General features: G+C 57.9%; 1 protein-coding gene and 1 long non-coding RNA gene across 4 annotated transcripts in view, besides 1 other annotated feature; one reads left to right on the top strand and one right to left on the bottom strand.

Moving 5' to 3' along the window:
* Nucleotides 1-17890, top strand: part of LOC102724701 (uncharacterized) — a 441766-nt gene that overhangs the window by 101325 nt on the left and 322551 nt on the right. The window lies entirely within an intron of this gene.
* Nucleotides 1-17890: part of a sequence alteration artifact (region identified as an assembly artifact by the Genome Reference Consortium. This region falsely duplicates sequence located at GRCh38 chr21:43035651-43187643) that runs on past both edges of the window.
* LOC102724652 (crystallin alpha A2) overlaps nt 4918-17890 on the bottom strand; it is a 65287-nt gene continuing 52314 nt past the window's right edge. Inside the window, exons 3-5 of one of the 2 annotated variants that reach the window (NM_001314050.5) lie at nt 8436-9335; nt 7084-7206; nt 4918-5652 (exon numbers count right to left, since the gene is read on the bottom strand). In NM_001314050.5, coding sequence (NP_001300979.1) covers nt 5443-5652; nt 7084-7206; nt 8436-8624 — 522 coding nt within the window. In that variant the 5' untranslated portion in view covers nt 8625-9335 and the 3' untranslated portion in view covers nt 4918-5442. Of the gene's footprint in view, nt 5653-7083; nt 7207-7313; nt 7488-8435; nt 9336-17890 lie in introns of those variants that run through there. The other variant, NM_001320719.1, reaches the window with a different exon arrangement.

Here is a 17890-nt window from a genome sequence, read left to right as displayed (position 1 = left end):
GTGAAGGTGACCTTTAAGGCTGAGGTTCGGCAAGTCTCCTGCGGCCAAGGTCTCGGCGGCCAGGCAAGTCCTCTGCTGCCACCTGGTGGTAAGTGTGAGGCACGCTGGTGATGATTGAAAGGAACTGGGGGCTGGAGGCTCCCCGCAGGCACTCGGTCTCCCAGCTTCAGCCGACTGGCAAAGACGGACATCGAATACTCAGAGGGGTTGATAGATCTGTCCAAAGTCACCCAGCATGTCACCAGAAGAAAGGGACCAGTGCCTCAGGCTTCCTCAGCGCCTCCCAATTTTCACATTATGTGTGACATTGCAGTAATCATCTGCCCAGCGGTGCTGAGCCCTGGCTTTGGGGTCAAACAGACAGGGTGCACCTGGCCCAAGCCCTCACCAGCTGGGGACACCAGGCAGGTGACTCCATTTCTAAGCCTGGGTGTCCTCAGCTAACAATAGAAACAGGCTACAGGCTGCTGTGCAGGCTGCATGAGAATTGCCGTTACAAGCGCAGCAGGCGCAAGGCCTGGCATACAGCAGGTGCTCCATTAATGCTTTTCCGGCTGCTGCTCATAATGATGATGACAATGATGCCCAAGGTGAAAACGGGAGCAGAGGAGAGCGTGGGTCATTTTCACTCCAGAGTCCAGCGTCCCCAGCAGTGGGATGAGGGAGAGCCTCCCTGGAGATCGAGAAGCTGAGCCCCAAGACTGGAGAGGCAGCTTCCAGTGAGACTTCTCTCCCCCGCTGCCCCAACCTGAGGAGGCGCCGCTGTCCCGCAGCATCTCCCACTTGCACCTGATCATAGGGCTCACCTGGAGGCACCAAAAGCCCAGCTCCCTGGACTCTGCCCCTCCAGACTCTAAGTGGGTGTGAGCGGGGCCCAGGAGTCTGTATTTGCAATGCACTGCAGGTGGTTCTCCCGGCCTGGCAGGCTTGGGAAGTACTGGCCAATCCCATCTTTCCACGATGGCCGTGTGCCCTGGTGAATGGGGCTGGACACTGGCACGCAGAGCTCTCTGAATTCAACCTGAATGCATACCAGGGAGCAGTGGGGCAGTCAGACCACAGGGGCCTCAGACGCCAGGCCACACAATGGGAAGCGGGGGAGAGGTGATCAGAGCCTCGGCCCTCTGAAGGCCAGGCGAGGGAGAGGGAGGCCCAGAGGGCAGAAAGCTGGCAGCAGCACCCACGGAGAAGGCTGGTGTGAGTCCCAGGCCTAGCAGTGGGTGGGCAGAGGCGAGCTTGGAAAGGAGGCAAGGGGAGCAGGCATCCTCCCGGCTTCAGAAGCTCTCCAACAGCAGCCCATGGGAGCCATGTGGGTAGGAGCAGCCACCAGAGAGCCTTGGCAGCTGCTCAGACTCCAGGAAAGTGGCTGGGCACCATGGCCAGAGCTGCGCCCTGCATTAAAGCTCACATCCACGTGGCCTCCTGCCCTGGCGGGGCGGGCATGGTGGGGGTGGAATCTGGCCACTCACCTGTGACTCTGAAGGGGTCTTGGGTGCAAAGCAGCCCCAGGCCCCAGCACAGGCAGCTCCTGAGGCTGGGCCCGTTGAGATGACTTCAGGGTGGGAGCCTAGGTCTCCAGGCCTTGCCATTGGCTGGCTGGGGCCTTGCACAAGTCCCTGCTGAGCCTCTGTCTCATCTGGACAAGGTGGTGATGAGGCTGCTGTCAGATGACCGTCAGCTTGGTGCCTGCGGGGAGTCCGTGTGACCTTGGCCTCACAGTAGCCATGGTGACAGTGAAATCACTGAAATCACCTGGGCGGCCCTTGCAAGGCAGGCTGTTCCAGAATAGGCCCCAAGGTGGGAGGAGAGGAGATAGGGGCTGTGGCCAGCCTGGGATGGAGCCAGGCTCTGAGCCCTGTATGGACAATCTCTCAGGCGTATCTAGCCTACCCCAGGCCAGAGGTGAAGCAGCCCCAGGCCCCTGAGTTTAAGAACCGCCCGGGTGGGGTGTGATTGGAGAGCCGAGGAAGGATGGCATCAGGAGGCCCCAGGAGGGGAGATGGGAGGTGTCACGCTGCATGTCTTGGAGGCCAGATGAGATGAGAGCCCCTCCCCCCACCCCCTCCAAGTCCTTGCTGAGCCTGTGCTGCTGGAAGACCCAACTGGGGGAGCAGAGGAGATCAGACAGCCCACCAGCCAGGGGAAGTTCTGCCTGGGCTGGCCCTGGTGCTCCGTGCGACTCTCCAAGGAGCCTGATCGAGGATCTGGTGAACCACCCACGGGCCTTGCAGACCCTGCCAAGGCCTAGCCAAAGGCTATGTCTTTGGGCCTGAATGCGTCGGTTCCCGCAGCTGCAACGCCACAGCTGCGGCTCCAATGGCAGACATCGTTTCTGCCGGGTCCTGGAGGCCGGGAGTCCAAGGTCAAGGGGCAGCAGGGCCGGTTCCTCTGGGGCGTCTCTCCTTGGCTTGCAGACAGTGTCTCCTCCCTGTGCCCTCACGGGGTTGTCCCTCTGTAGGTCTGTGTCCTCATCTCCTCTTCTTACAAGGACACCGGCCAGACTGGGCCAGGGCCCACCCCAGTGACATCACTTCAATTTAATCAAAGCCCCCACCGCCAAACACAGTCCCATTCTGAGCCTTTGGGGGTAGGACCCCATATAATTTTCAGGGAGTCACCTTCCAGCCCCTAACAAGGTCCAGGCAGGACCCGCAGTCAAGCAAGGCTGCAGGCGTGAGTGACAGCTCCATTCACTGTGCAGCCGGTGGGACGGGACCCGGAGCTACCAGATGTTGCGGTGGGCCCGCCTCCCTGCAATGGCTGCCAGGCTGTGCAGAGCAAAGGTGTCCGCTCAGCTGGTCCGGGACAGACCCAGGAGGAGCAGGGAGCCCCAGACACCCCGATTTTCAAAAACATCCAGCCGCAGCCCCAAAGCACAGTGGGTCATGTTGTTGCCAACCACAGGGCACCCCCTTCTGTACAAATGGGGACTCGATGGCACAACAGCCGGGCAGGTCCTGCTGGAGGGAGGAGGAGGGGGGGAGTCTAGGGGAGCCACTCCCAGGACTCAGAACCCGTCACACCACGGCCTGGCCAGAGGAATACAAAGAGAGACAAAGGGCATGGTGTGTTGAGGGGTGTGTGTGTGTCTGTGGTGTGTGTGGAGTGTGTTGTGTGTGGAGTGTGTGGTGTGTGTGTGTGGAGTGTGTGGTGTGTGGAGTGTGCGGTGTGTGTGGAGTGTGTGGAGTGTGCGGTGTGTGTGGAGTGTGTGGAGTGTGTGGTGTGTGTGGAGTGTGTGGTGTCTGTGCTGCGTGTGGTGTGTGTGTGGAGTGTGTGGTGTGTGTGTGGAGTGTGTGGTGTGTGGAGTGTGGAGTGTGTGGTGTGTGTGGAGTGTGTGGTGTGTGTGGAGTGTGTGGAGTGTGTGGAGTGTGTGGTGTGTATGGAGTGTGTGGTGTGTGGTGTGTGTGTGGAGTGTGTGGTGTGTGTGGAGTGTGGAGTGTGTGGTGTGTGTGGTGTGTGTGGTGTGTGTGGAGTGTGCGGTGTGTGTGGAGTGTGTGGAGTGTGCGGTGTGTGTGGAGTGTGTGGTGTGTGTGGTGTGTGTGGAGTGTGTGGAGTGTGCGTTGTGTGTGGAGTGTGTGGTGTGTGTGGAGTGTGTGGAGTGTGTGGAGTGTGTGGTGTGTGTGGTGGGTGTGGAGTGTGTGGTGTGTGTGGAGTGTGTGTTGTGTGTGGAGTGTGTGGAGTGTGGAGTGTGTGGTGTGTGTGGAGTGTGTGGAGTGTGTGGAGTGTGTGGTGTGTGTGGTGTGTGTGGAGTGTGTGGAGTGTGTGGTGTGTGTGGAGTGTGTGGAGTGTGTGGTGGGTGTGGAGTGTGTGGTGTGTGTGGAGTGTGTGGTGTGTGTGGAGTGTGTGGAGTGTGGAGTGTGTGGTGTGTGTGGAGTGTGTGGAGTGTGTGGTGTGTGTGGAGTGTGTGGAGTGTGGAGTGTGTGGAGTGTGTGGAGTGTGTGGTGTGTGTGGTGTGTGTGGAGTGTGTGGAGTGTGCGGTGTGTGTGGAGTGTGTGGTGTGTGTGGTGTGTGTGCTGTTCAGTGTCCGTGGCACGTGATGTCACTGGGCGTCACTATGGCCGCCCACGCTAATGCCTGTTGCTGACTTTTTGAAAACCCGGTGGTGTCAGTGTCTGTGTTCTCCCGGGTGGAGGCTGCGCCCCTGTGGTCGTCCTGCTGGTGCCATGGGGGTCCCAGTGCCTCAGGGTCCCGGTGCCTTCGGCCTCCGGGGTCGAGGGCGCTTTACTTGGCTGAGGGCGCTGGCAGGGCCCACCCGCCGTGGCGTCTGCTTCCCCTTGGGTGCCCTCTGGCCCCCCGGATGCCCCTCGGTGAGCGCAGCAGGCAGCCAGGGCCCCCCAGGCCGAGTCTCCCTCCCCGTGGCGGGGTCTGGCATGGCCGCCCAGTGTCTGGTCCCGGGAGGGGACAGAGCGAGCTTCCGCCTCCAGCTCGGGGCCATGATGGGTTGCCCAGGGGAAGCTGCCGAGTTCCAGCTCCTCAAAAGCACGAGTGCCCTTAAAGCCCAGCCCCGAAGGCAGCAGGACCCCCGAGAGAACAGGACGACCCAGCAGACCCCGAGAGAACCGGACGGCCCCGCAGAAGGAGGCCAGGGCTGGCGTCCCGCCCCGGTGCCGGCGCGGACAGAGAAAGGAGCCCGGCCTCCCTCCATTCCCTGCAGCCCCTTCCAGGTCCCTCCCCGCCCCCAGCTCTCGGAACCGCTCCCCAGTCCCTTTCCCATCAGAGGCTCTGCCCCCAAAACCTCTCCTTCCAGCCCAGTGTGGAGGGAGGCGCTTGAGCTCAGGAGAAGGAAGGGACGCAGGCGACCCCATCGTTCCGAGGCCACCGGGTCCAACGCGAGCAGGAGACCCCGCTGTCCTCCCTCCCGGCGCCGCCCTCCTGCCCCTCGCGCCCCTGATGGAGACAGCACCAGCAGACGGCGGGTTGCTTGTATCACCTGCTGTTTATTGATTGCCGCGGGCTGCGCTCTCATGGGCGACCCATGTCCCCAAGAGCGGCACTACATAGAGGGGTTGGAGGAAGACGGTCTGAGAGAAGAGGCCGCGAGAGCCCAGGTGCACAGAAGCCCCGGCCCCACGGGCCTCACGCGCCCCAGGAGGTGTGGGCAGGGCCCGCCGCGGAGGGAGGCTGCAGGTGTGTCAGGAGGCACCTGGCCGGAGGTCACCCCCTCCTTCTGGACCCTCAGCAGAGTTGAGGCGCCTGCACCCCAGGGGAGCCAGGCTGCTATCTAAAGGAGTGTGAGGTGCGGTCACTTCCGCCACTGGCCGGTGTCGGGGTCTGGGACACCCTGAGACCCTAAGCTCTCCTGGCTGCTCTCTCAAACCCTCATTCCATGTGAGAAGGTGGAAAGGAAAAAAGGGAAGCAAAGGAAGACAGACACCCCGCCCTCAGGGTGCTCCCCCCATGATGGGCCAGGGCTGCAGGGGAGCCAGCCGAGGCAATGCCTGCTTAGGACGAGGGAGCCGAGGTGGGCTTCTCCTCCCGCGACACGGGGATGGCTCGCTCGGCGTGGGTGGCATCCAGGCCAGTCTGGATCTTGGGGCCACAGAAGGTCAGCATGCCATCGGCAGACAGGGAGCAAGAGAGGGCCGACTGGTCCACGTTGGACGGCAGGCGGTAGCGGCGGTGGAACTCACGGGAAATGTAGCCGTGGTCGTCCTGGAGAGGGTGGGGGCGCACAGTCAGGGGGGCCACTGTGCAGGCGGCTGCCTCGCCCCATGCCAGAGAAGCTGCCCCAGCCCCACTGACTGCAGAAGGGGGCCAGCCTGCGGGGGCTCTCACAGGGGCCGGGTGCAGCCAGCACATCCCATGGCCAGGCCCCCTGGGATTTATGGATTCATGCCCCTGCTTCTCTGGACCTCAGCCTGGCCTCGTGGCCACTTGCCGGGCTATTCCCCGCGGGGGGTTGTCTCTTCCCGCTCCATGGCTTCACTCCAAAATCGCAGGATCATTCCAGACCAGGCCCCGCACCTCAGCCAGTCTTCCCCTTCCAGACCCCGCAGGACTGCTCTAGCCCAGGTCTCTGCAGCCCTACCTAATGTGGCCAGACGACCCACATGCTTCCACGTCCCCTGGACGCCCTAAACCGCAGACTCAGCTCCCTGGGCTGACCTCCTCCTCCACTGGGTGCAAAGACCAAGAGCTGGGAGCTCAGGAAGCATGTTCCAGGCTGGCTGGGGCTACGTGGGGGCTTTACCGGGCCCAGGCGAGGGAGGGGCAGCACATGAGGAGGTCAGCGTTCACCCCCCAGCACCACCTTCTCCAGCCATTGAAAGAGGACCCTGGCCAAAAGAAACCAAGACTTTGGCTAAGAGTTCCACCTTCCAGCCCCACTCTGCTCTCCAGCCCCCGCGGGGCACTGTCCATCTGTGACAGTCCATGAGCTCTTCCCGGCTCCGCCAGGAGATGCAGGTCACCAGGGCTCCAGTGCCCCGGCTCCCTCAACACCACGGAGATCCGAGGCCTCCAGCCGAGCAAGAGCGGGGCATCAGGGTGACTGTGGGGAGAAGCTCCCGTCCACCTGCCCGGTACTAGCTGTGGGACCCAGCAGGCTGAGGACCCCCTTGTTCCCCAGCCGTGCCCTGGAATAATGAGGACACTGGTTCCAAAGTGCTGCTGTGAGGCGAAGGTGTCAATGCCTGTAAAGCATTCCAAGCGGATGCAGCTATGCCGTCGGGGACTGGCTTCCTCAGGTAGGGTTCATGTGAAGATGTACACTGGCTAGGAGGCGGCCACCCGGGGCACTCCCACTTCCTGGGGTTCTTTCTAAGACCACCCTGGCATCCAGGTGACAGGGATGGAGCTGGCGACGGCTGGGTGCAGCCCGGGAAGGGACCCTAACCTGGATCCCTGAGCCACATTAGCTCGGGAATGGTGACCTCTGTCACCGGGAGGGGCTGGCTGTGCTCAGGTGGGCACGGCCCCTCCCTTGGGGAAAAGCCAGGCCTGATTCGGGGTCCCCTGGAGAGCGTCCCTCTCCCAGGGTTGAAGGCATGGTGCAGGTGTGCAGGCCCGGTCGTGCCCGCCGTGACCCCCTTGTCCTCGCGCCCAACTCGCCCCCCTCTCCCACCTCTCAGTGCCTGGGCTCACCTGGCGCTCGTTGTGCTTTCCGTGGATCTCCACAAAGTCGTCCTGCACCTTCACGGTGAGGTCCTCCGGGGAGAAGTGCTTCACATCGAGGAAGATGACGAACTTGTCCCGGTCGGATCGAACCTGAAATCCAAACGTGCCATGTGGAGCTGCCCAGAGGGTGCCGTCCCTGCTGGGGTTGGCAGAGACAGGGCGGGTCCCGGTTATCAGAACAGAGATGCTTCGGTCACCTGCCGGCCTCTTCTCCCACACACCAAGTGGGGCAGAGCTTTCGGGGGCCTGTGACTGTCTCCTGGACAGACAGGCATGACCCTCGACCTGTCTCCAAACCCTCAGGGCCAGCTGAGGGGCTGAATGCTACTGGTGGGCCGGCTGGTTGTTTGGCTATGGTCAGGTGGCTGGTTATAGATAAGTTGGCTGGTTATGGGCTGGCTGGCTACTGGTTATGGTAGGAGGGGTCGTTACGGGTTGGTTGGTCCGTTAGGGTCAATCGTCTGGCTGGTGATGCTTGGCTGGCTGGCTGGACTCAGCCTGTGGAATGAGGTCACTGCCCTTGGTGTCATGCTGTCTATAGAAGCGGCCGGAGCCTGCTGACAGCCTGCGCAGCTGCCTCTCCAAAACGCACTTCCACATGCTCCTTCTCACTCCCCTGGCTCAGCCTTGGCTCCCTGAGGCATTTTGCACCCTGGCATTGATGCCTACTGCAGCAGCCCTGGGGAGGACCCTGTTTATGAGGTGCTGGGTGGGACTCAGGCCCTCCAGAACAGCAGAACCTGCACCGCTCACCCGTGGCTCAGAGAGGAGGCCTGTGGTTGGGTGGGGGGGGGGGGCGTCCATTGCCTGTCCTTTTAGCCTTGGCAGGGCACCTAAGTAAACTTGCCAAGAGCTTTGCTAGCCGTGGGCAGGCCGAGCTCATTGGAGGAGGTGCTAGGAACGCCCTGCTCTCTGGCTTTCAGGACTATGACCCCCACCTGCTCCCAGGTCTCCGGGACTCAGGAGACCAGAGGAACCCGGGAGCTGGCATTCGCCACCACGCATGCCTGGATGGGCTGCTCTTGGGGTTTCCAGTATGTGGCTGGTGCCTTACAAAGCACACATGGGTCATGAGCTGATGGAGGAAAGCAAAGGTGGATTCAGGCTGCTCCCTTGTCCACCCTCTCCCCAGTGCCAGGGGAAGCTCTACCACGTGGCTGCAGTGGGGACACAGGCTCTCGCCCAGCCTCTGCAAGGGGATGAAGTGGGACGAGGCCACCTGCCTGACGGAGCAAGACCAGAGTCCATCGCTCTCCACCCACCGAGGCCACCACCCTCTGAGCAGCGAGGAGAGGCCAGCACCACGGGCCACGTCTTACCTCAGAGATGCCGGAGTCCAGCACGGTGCGGAAGAGGGACTGGCGGTAGTAGGGGCTGATGGTGGACGACAGGAAGGGCAGCAGGTCATACTCAAAAAGGCCCTCGCCGAAAAACTGGTCGAACAGCCGGCTGGGGTAGAAGGGCCCCAGGGTGCGCTTGAACCAGGGGTGCTGGATGGTCACATCCATGTTCAGCTTTGGTACCACGGGGACCTGGAGGCTGGCAGGAGTCAGCGGGGCCTCTGGGCAGCGCAGTGTGGAGCCAAGGCCGAGCCCTCCCTATATATGCCACCAGCAGAATGGAGGCATTAAGGGATTTCTCTGGAAAGGCGTGAGCTCATGAAGAAGGCTGCTCAGTCAGCAGAAACGTGGCTGGGACAAGTGCCCGCCCCCAGCCCCAGGAGGGGCTGCACGGACTGTCCCCGAGGCCTGGACTCAGCTGAGGCCCGCCTGGGCACCCTGGGGCTCCCGGGAGGGCAGACAACCCAAGGAGGCGCCTGTGCCCCATACTCGCCTGGGGCGACAATGGAGCTTCTCATCTGCCAGTCACTGGGCAGGGGCTACGTGCCAGGGACCATGCTAGTTCTCTGCACACCTTGTCCTGCCGGGGTGGTCCTCATGGTCGCCAGAGGAGGGAGAGCCCACACCCCCGTTAGACACAGAGGTTAGACACATCGTCGTCAGAGTCTCACCGGGCCTGGGCAAGAGTGCACTGGTTTCCAAAGCGGAGTGCATCTGTGAACCTCCGTTACACTCACCACTTACAAAAGTACGCATGCTTGTTAAAACTCGTGGAGAAGAAGCTGCAAGGTGCCATAATTCCAGCACCTGGGGGAGCCCTATGGCGTTTCATGCTTGTCCTCCAGGGGTCACATGCCTCCAACAGGAAGACGGGCTGGGCTGTGGGCAGATGAGAGCACCACGTGGTGAGCTTCCCTCTGCGGCCCACCCTGGACGCCCAGCCCCATGGCCATCATCCCCTCGATGTAACGCCTCGAGCGTTACATCTCGTAATGATGTAATGCCTTGATGTAACATCCCCACGTAACGCCTCGAGCCTCCGTGGCATGACCTGCCGTGGCTGTTGAGTTGGGCTGCTCCTGTCAGGGTGGCGACATGTCCCCACGTCCCTGTCACCCATGCGGACCCACCACCCACATGATCCTGTTATCCACAAGTCCTGGTGATTATTTTGCTCCTCGACCCATGGCCCCTGTCCAGTTCTCACTAAGTGTCCAGGCACTCCCGGTTTTGTTTGTTTGTTTTTGAGATGGAGTCTTGCTGTGTCACCCAGAGTGGCGCCCAGATCATATAGTGGCGCGATCTCAGCTCACTGCAACCTCTGCCTCCCAGGTTCAAACAATTCTCCCACCTCAGCCTCCTGAGTAGCTGAGACTGCAGGTGCCTGCCACCACACCTGGCTAATTATTATTATTATTATTATTATTATTATTTTTGTATTTTTAGTAGAGACAGGGTTTCACCGTGTTGGCCAGGCTGGTCTCAAACTCTTGACCTCAGGTGACCCACCTGCCTTGGCCTCTCAAAGTGTAGGATTACAGGCGTGAGCCACTGCACCTGGCTCACTCCTAGTTTTAAGTCTTTTGATATTTTGGTATTTTGATATTTTGGTAAACTGGCCCTGGGGAGCATGGTCCTCCCCCACATCCCCCCTGCCAGCCTGGGAAGAGGCCATGCCCCCTCTCCCAGGCTAGCTTTTCTAGTGTACGGTCCAGGCTGTGGGAAGTTGCCTGGTTCTCTTTGGCCTCCTAGTTCCTACTCAGCCTCTAACAGATTCGTGCGTGTGGAGTGAACACACACCCAGGACACTCCCGGGCTTTGCAAATTCATCTCCAGCCCATGGGCTCAGAAGGCCATGAAATGTCAGATGCCCCAGTGTATGCGGATCAGACCTGACACATCCCAGATGGGATCAGGGATGAAAGGGGGGGCTCCGAGGCGTGCTCCACGGGGCACCTCCATCATGAGCAGCACCCATGAGCAGCACCCTTCCTCCTACATTTACAGCACTGTCCGGGGACACAGGATCCCAAAAAATCTTGAAATGATAGCTTTTGCCCTGCAAGGTTACAATTCCAGAGGAGCGATTCCCTGGGGTGCCAAATTAAGGTGCAGATAGGAAACGCTGGGAGAGTGATGGGTGCTTCCCCCGAAAGCCTACACCAGACCTCTCTGCCTGTGGGTCCTCAGAGCCACCCTGTGAAGCAGGTCCCAGCATCATTCCCGCTTCATAGACCAGGAAATGGGAGCTTAGAAGGTTAAGCCGCACACCCAGGTCACTTGGCTTGGAAGAAGGGAAGGGGGTTTAAAGCCACCTTTCCAGTCTGGGGGTCAACATCCAAGCAGTGGCAGGGTCTGGGTGAGGCAGCGGGCGGCCCCACTGTGCTGGCTGCCTATTCCCGGGGCACAGGGAGGGGGAAGAAGAGTCCTTTGGGATGGAAACCAGCATGGAGCTTGGCCCTGGGGAGGGTCGAGCCAGGCCAGGAGCACGGTCAGTGCTGGGCAGAGCCATGCTGGAGCTTGAAGCAAAAGGAGAAGGCCGTCGTCCTCATCCTGGCTTTATGTAAAATGTTGACAGTTTGTCCACCACAAATTTTTTGCATTCATTTTGATTTACTTATTTATTTTATTTATTTATTTTTGAGATGGAGTCTCGCTCTGTCGCCCAGGCTGGAGTGCAGTGGCACAATCTCAGCTCACTGCAACTTCTGCCTCCCGGGTTCAAACGATTCTCCTGCCTCAGCCTCCCAAGTAGCTGAGATTACAGGCACACACCACTACACCCAGCTAATTTTTATATTTTTAGTAGAGATGAGGTTTCGCCGTGTTGGCCAGGCTGGTCTCGAACTCCTGATCTCTGGTGATCCACTCGCTTCGGCCTCCCAGAGTGATGGGATTACAGGCGTGAGCCACTGCGCCCGACCCATTTTGATTTGTTTAAACATTGCATCAAAACATGATTTAAACATCAGAACATTGATGGCAGTGTTTTTAGTGCCCCTGACACTTGGCAGGGAGGGAGGAGCTGTGCTGTCCTTCACAGCTGGCCCTGCACATGGTCAGTCAAACAGTGGAGACTGCAGGCTGAGGAGGCAGCTGAGGCACCAACCTGGGGCTGGGCACCAGCCTGGTCCTATGGACTGCACAGCTCTGGGTGCCGAGGATGGGGCAAGGTCCTCAGACACGGGGCAGGGCAAGGTCCTCAGACATGGGGCAGAGCAAGGTCCAGGCACTCACACCTCTTGCGCCCCTCACCACACGCTGTAGGGCCTGGCGGCTCAGAGGCCGCCGTGGGACGTCGAGGCTCTGCCACAGGATTGGCCGGGCCTGCAGGGGGCTTCTGAGTGAGCCAGCGCCTGAGTCTGCACAACAGAAGCAGGAAGGCCTGGACCGGGGGCAGGGAGGGCTCTAGGGCCCTAGGGGCCTTTTCAAACCCCGAGTTTAGGTGTTGTATTAGTGTCTTGTGGCTGATGTACCAATCACAGACTTAGTGGCTTAAAACAACACAAACGTCTTCTCTCACAGTTCTGGAGGCCACAAGTCTGAAATGTGTCTCATTCAACTTAAAGCAAGACACTGGCAGGGCTGGCTCCTGCTGGAGGCTCAGGGGAGTCTGTTTCTTGCCTTCTCTGGCATCTCAAGGCACCTGCCTTTCTTGGCTCGTGGCCCCTCCTCCACCTTCAAAGGCAGTGGTGGGCGGTGAGGTCTCTCCCATCACATCCACCTGGCAATTACGCTCTCAGCCCACCTGGATAATTCAGGCTCACCCCCACCACATCTCAAAGCCGGCTACTTTCAGGAGCCTTAACCCCCACTCGCTGGCCCGGAGCCTGCTGTGCAAACATCCTCACTTAATTGATCCACACTGGTCGAGTCCTGTCTCTTAACGCTGTGTTAAACAAAGTCCCTGCTTTTCTGGAGCTGATATTCTCTTGGGTAGAGACAAGCAACAAACAAGTAAATGCACGCTGATGTCAGTGCATCCGCCTGCCAGAGCCCTGCGCCATTCGCCTGGATTCTGGGGAAACAAGACCCTTTTGCTCTGGACCTGGGCTCCTCCTGAAATTTGTGTTGAAGATGCTGCCTCAAAGCCACAGTGTGCAGGTGGCGGGCAGGGGGAGGTGACAGCCAGTGCACTGAGGGATATGATGTCTGCGGAAAATGAAAAACCAGAATGAAACCAAAGACAAGTCAGTGTTCTTTTCCTGATTCCCAGCCACTGTCCATGCAAATCATGTCAGCACAAAATCCCCTTTTGCTGGGCTAAGTTCTAGCAATTGCTGCATTCATAGCAGTTGTTTCTAGAGGTAGGGGTGTTCTATAAAGCTGCTGTGAGCACTGAATTAGTGATGCCTGGACTGCTGAACCATGGCTCCCAGGGGAGACACAGGCTTAGGGTCCTGCGAGCCTCTGGCCCCAATGTTCTCATCAGCTGAGCAATGCATCATTTGTCTTATGAGTGTTTCTGTGTACAGATGCTTTACTGAGGCCAGGCGTGGTGGCTCACGCCTGTAATCCCAGCACTTTGGGAGGCCAAGGCGGGTGTATCACCTGAGGCCAGGAGTTCAAGATCAGCCTAGCCAAAATGGTGAAACCCCATTTCTATTAAAAATACTAAAATTAGCCAGGCGTGATGGTGCAGGCCTGTAATCCCAGCTACTTGGGAGGCTGAGGCAGGAGAATCGCTTGAACCCAGGAGGTGGAGGTTGCAGTGAGCTGAGATCGTGCCACTGCACTTCAGACTGGGCAACAGAATGAGACTCTGTTCCAAAAAAGAAAAAAAAAAAAAAGATGCTTTACTGAATCTATAAACATTGATTCACTAAACACTGAACTCATGGCCAGCAGCCCTGTAGCTCTGCCCGAAGGAAGCTTCTCTAACCCGTGTTTCCTCTGTGAGATGCACTGCAGCTTGCTTACCTTTTGCAGTTTTGTGTGTTTTGTTCGTGATTTTGCTGTTTAAAATGCCCCCAAGCACAAAGCTGAAGAGTAACCAAACAGTAACCAAAACTGTCTTTGGGTTTCCATTTGTATGGCATATTTTTAGAAATCTTTTACTTTCAAACTATTTGTGTCTTTGAATCTAAAGTGTCTCTTGTAGACAGCATATAATTAGATAATGTTTTTAATCTGTTTGGACAATTTCTGCATTTTAACTGAAGTGCTTAATCCACTTACTTAAAAATGCCTCCAAGCACACAGCTCTTCAGCACTGGGCTTGGGGACGTTTTAAAAAGCAAAATCACAAACAAAACACACGAAATGCAAAAATCATGGCACTAAATAGACCTCAAAAAGGATACTGGTTGACCGCCTGAGGCTGAAACAAGAGGGCATAGTGCTGCCTTGTTCAACCTCACCCAGGAATATGTGTAAGGAGACAAATGTCTCGGCACTCTCTACACATCTGTGAATGACCAGGAAAACTCTGCAATTATTGATTTGGGGTCACAAATAAATTTTTTTGGTAATTTTTTTGTAGGGACGGGGTCTTGCTTGCTATGTTGCCCAGGCTGGTCTTGAACTCCTAGGCTCAAGCGATCCTCCCACCTTGGCCTCCAGAGGTGCTGGGATTACAGGCGTGAGCCACCGTGCCCAGCCTACAAATAAATTTGACCAAGTAGGTGTCATGGACTGAACTGAGTTCCCAAAAAATTCCTGTGTTGAAGTACTAACCCCAGGACCTCAGAGTGTGACTGTATTTGGAGATAGGATCTCTCAGGAAATTAAGTTAAAAGGAGGTCATTTGGGTGAGCCCTAATGCATGTGACTGGCATCCTTATAAGAAGAGGAAATCAGCTGGGCGCGGTGGCTCACGCCTGTAATCCCAACACTTTGGGAGGCCGAGGCGGGTGGATCACGAGGTCAGGAGTTCAAGACCAGCCTGGACAACATGGTGAAACCCCGTCTCTACTAAAATACAAAAAAATAGCCAGGCATGGTGGCATGCACCTGTAGTCCCAGCTACTCGGGAGGCTGAGGCAGGAGAATCACTTGAACCCGGAAAACGGAGGCTGCAGTGAGCCGAGATTGCACCACTGCACTCCTGCCTGGCGACAGAGTCTCACTCTGTCTTAAAAAAAAAAAAAAAAAAAAAAGAGGAGGAAATCTGGACAAATTCCAAAAAGAGACACCAAGAACACATGCACACAGAGGAAAGTCCACATGAGGGCACAACAAGAAGAGGCCCGTCTGCAAGCACAGGAAGGAACCGGCCCCACCGACCCTGCGATCTTGGACTTCCAGGCTCCAGGACTGTGAGACAACAAATGTCTGTTGTTTAAGCCATCCAGTCTGTGGTCCCTGGCACACTGACATCACAGGGAATTCCCAAATCTGGAATGCATGAGTCATGAGGATAGACTATATTTCTGTAATCTTCACATTAGCACAGTTTTATTTCTTGTTCTAAACATTTACTGAGTGGAAATTTTCCAGTGAACTTCCAGTCATGGGGCCACTCCCGACACTGCAGACGCAGCCACCTGCATTGGCTTGGAGCGGCTTTGAAGGGCGGGTGCAGGTGCACTGGGGGAGGGGTTCTCATCTCCAGCCCGTGGTTCAACATATTTCTGTGCTTAAACGAGAAATTTCACATAACAACAACAGCACTCACAAAGAAACCGAGCTGGAAGTATTTCAGTTCTGTCATTCTGCATGACCTCTTGGTGTTTTTATTCTGTGTTTCAAATGTGAGACTGTGAAACCAGAGCGAAAACGGAGATGTGGTGCTGAAGCTGAGATGTTAGCTCATGCATGAAAGAAGTCACTGAATTTGAATATCTTTAACATTGAAATGCATTCTTTTTCTGTTAATTGCTTTAAAGAATGAATCAAGAAAATCATGATTATCCGTGATTATTACATAACTATCCTGAAAATAATTTTGCGGTATGGAGGATGGAATATTCAAAACTGTGACTCACTCTGGTGTCAGATACCTTGGGGGCACCGCCGGCCTGGGGCTCCTCAACCTTCTTGCTGGCGTCCAGTGGCCTCTGACAGCCCTCCAAGTGTGAGCAGACCGAGGCTGTTTCGGGAGGCCTGGAGCCCTTTGGCGCTGCCCTCAGTCTGCCTCTGAGCCAAAACCTGCAGCCGGCCTCGTCGCCAGCAATGCTGGGACCCCAAGGTTGAAATGATATAGGAAACAAGGGTACCCCCCAGGATGTCTGAAGGGTGAGGTAAGCTTCTTCCTGTGCCTCCCACACCACCGCCCAGTGGCACAGGGCCCCCTGGCGCCTGCCCGGGACAGCCTGCAGGAGCCCGGCCCCAGCACACAGGCCCCAGGCTGGTGTGAGCTGGGTCAGGGAAAGGTCCGCCTAGGGACAGGAAGGGCCGTGGAGAGAGAGGTCTGCCCAGTAGGCCCCAAGGACCCCTCCGGGAAGAGGCTGGCCTCTCCAGGCAGCCTGGCACGGAAGTCAAGGCTACGAGTCAAGTGTCTGACTCCCAGGCCAGGGCTGGGAAGGGCAAGAACAAGGCTGGTCTTGTAGCCTGCCACCTGGGGAGGGCATGGGGGTAGGCAAACAGCTCAGCCCCGCAGGCACACCGGGGTCTGTGCAAACATGATCACCCTGGGCACAGGCAGCCCTTCCTCACTGGATGTCCCTGGGCACGGGTGGCCCTTCCTCACTGGACATCTTTAAGCATGGGCAGCCCTTCCTCATTGGATGTCTCTTGGTTCTCCCGGCCTCCTGGAGAGTAACCGTCACTCCTGCCTGTGCCCTGGACCGAGACCCTGGCGAGAGTGACCAGCCCAGGGCAGACCCAGCCAGAGCACCCAGTGGGCCCCAAAGGACCCGCCTTGGGTTAAGGGGGTGCGGGAGGGGGTCACCGCAGAGCCAGCAGCTTCCAGAGAAGGCTGAGGGTGGGGACCTGGGCATAGCCCAAGGTGCCAGTGCCCACCTGGGGTCTTGGTGGCCGCAGGGAGAATGTGGGCCAGGTGCCGCCGCACAGCTCCATCCGGCCTGACCCTCAGTCCCAGCCCCACCCTGGGCCACTGCTGCTGGGTCCCCCCTCACAGATGCAGAGACCGCACAGGCGGCAGAGTCAGATGGACGCAGCTTCCACACGGGCCCCACCTAGGCCATCTGCGCCCCAGCAAGGGAGACGCCAGCCCAGCATGCCTGGCTCAGCGCAGTGCCACCACAGGCCCGACCCTCACCCCCCCGCCCCGGGGAAGAAAAAGTAAGAGTTTCACAGAGATCAGAGAAAGAAAAGGCACGCCTCCCACAGCTGAGCAAGGCCATGGGGCAGGGCTGGCCCCTGTGCCCACCAGCCCTCGCAGGGGCCGTCCCACCTGGGAGAGGCCTCAAGGCCATTGGCTGCCTCGACGGGAACTGCAGCCGAGTGGGGCCTGCAGCCGGGGCCTCGGGCCTGTCGCAGGTGTGGAGCCCGGCCGCCTGAGGACGTTCTGCAGGGTGGGCAGCGCTGGGGACGGCGCAGGGGGACCATCCCCTCCGGCCCAGGGGCTGGGCAGGACCCAGTGTGGGCTGCATGGGGCTCCTGAGGGTGGAGAAGGGGTGGGAGGCCAAGGGAACAGAGGGACAGATGTGCGGGATCTGGGGTGCGAGGGCAGGGCTCCAACTGGTCTGGGAGCGTGTGTGGGGGTGTGGTGTATATTTGATATGTGTGGTGTGTGGGGGGTGTGTGTTGGATATGTGGTGTGTGATGTGTGTGTGGTGTGTGGGGTTTCTGTGACGTGTGTGGTGTGTGTGTGGTATACGTGTGGTGTGTGGGGTTTCTGTGATGGGTGTGGTGTGTGTGGTGTGTCTGTGACGTGTGTGGTGTGTGTGTGTGGTATATGTGTGGTGTGTGGGGTTTCTGTGACGTGTGTGTGATGTGTGTGTGGTGTGTGGTGTACAATGTACCGTGTGTGGTGTGTGTGTGTGTGATGTGTCTGGTATGTGCTGTGTGTGTTGTATATGTGATGTGTGGGGTGTGTGTGTGGTGTGTGTTGTATATGTGATGTGTGTGGTATATGTGGTGTGTGATGTGAGTGGTGTGTGTGTGGTGTTTATGTGATGTGTGGGGTGTGTGGAATGTGGGGTGTGTGGTATATGTGTGGTGTGTGATGTTTCTGTGGTGCGTGTGGTGTGCGATGTGTGTGATGTGTGTGTGATGTGTGTGATGTGTGTGTGGTGTGTGTGTGGTGTATGATGTGTGTGCAGTGTGGAGTATCTGTGGTGTGTGTCTGTGTGGTGTGTGTGATGTGTATGTTGTGTATCTGGTGTGTGTGTGGTATATCTGTGGTGTGTGTCTGTGGTGTGTGTCTGTGGTGTGTGTGGTGTGTGTTGTATAGGTGGTGTGGGGTGTGTATGTGTGGTACATCTATAGTGTATGGTGTGTGTGTGGTGTGTGTTGTATAGGTGGTGGGGTGTGTGTGTGGTATATCTATAGTGTATGGTGTGTGTGTGATGTGTGTGGTGTGTGTCCGT

This window comes from Homo sapiens, chromosome 21 (genome assembly GCF_000001405.40).
Source record: "Homo sapiens chromosome 21, GRCh38.p14 Primary Assembly".
Lineage (NCBI taxonomy): Eukaryota > Metazoa > Chordata > Mammalia > Primates > Hominidae > Homo > Homo sapiens.
This window is presented reverse-complemented; position numbering and strand designations above follow the sequence as displayed.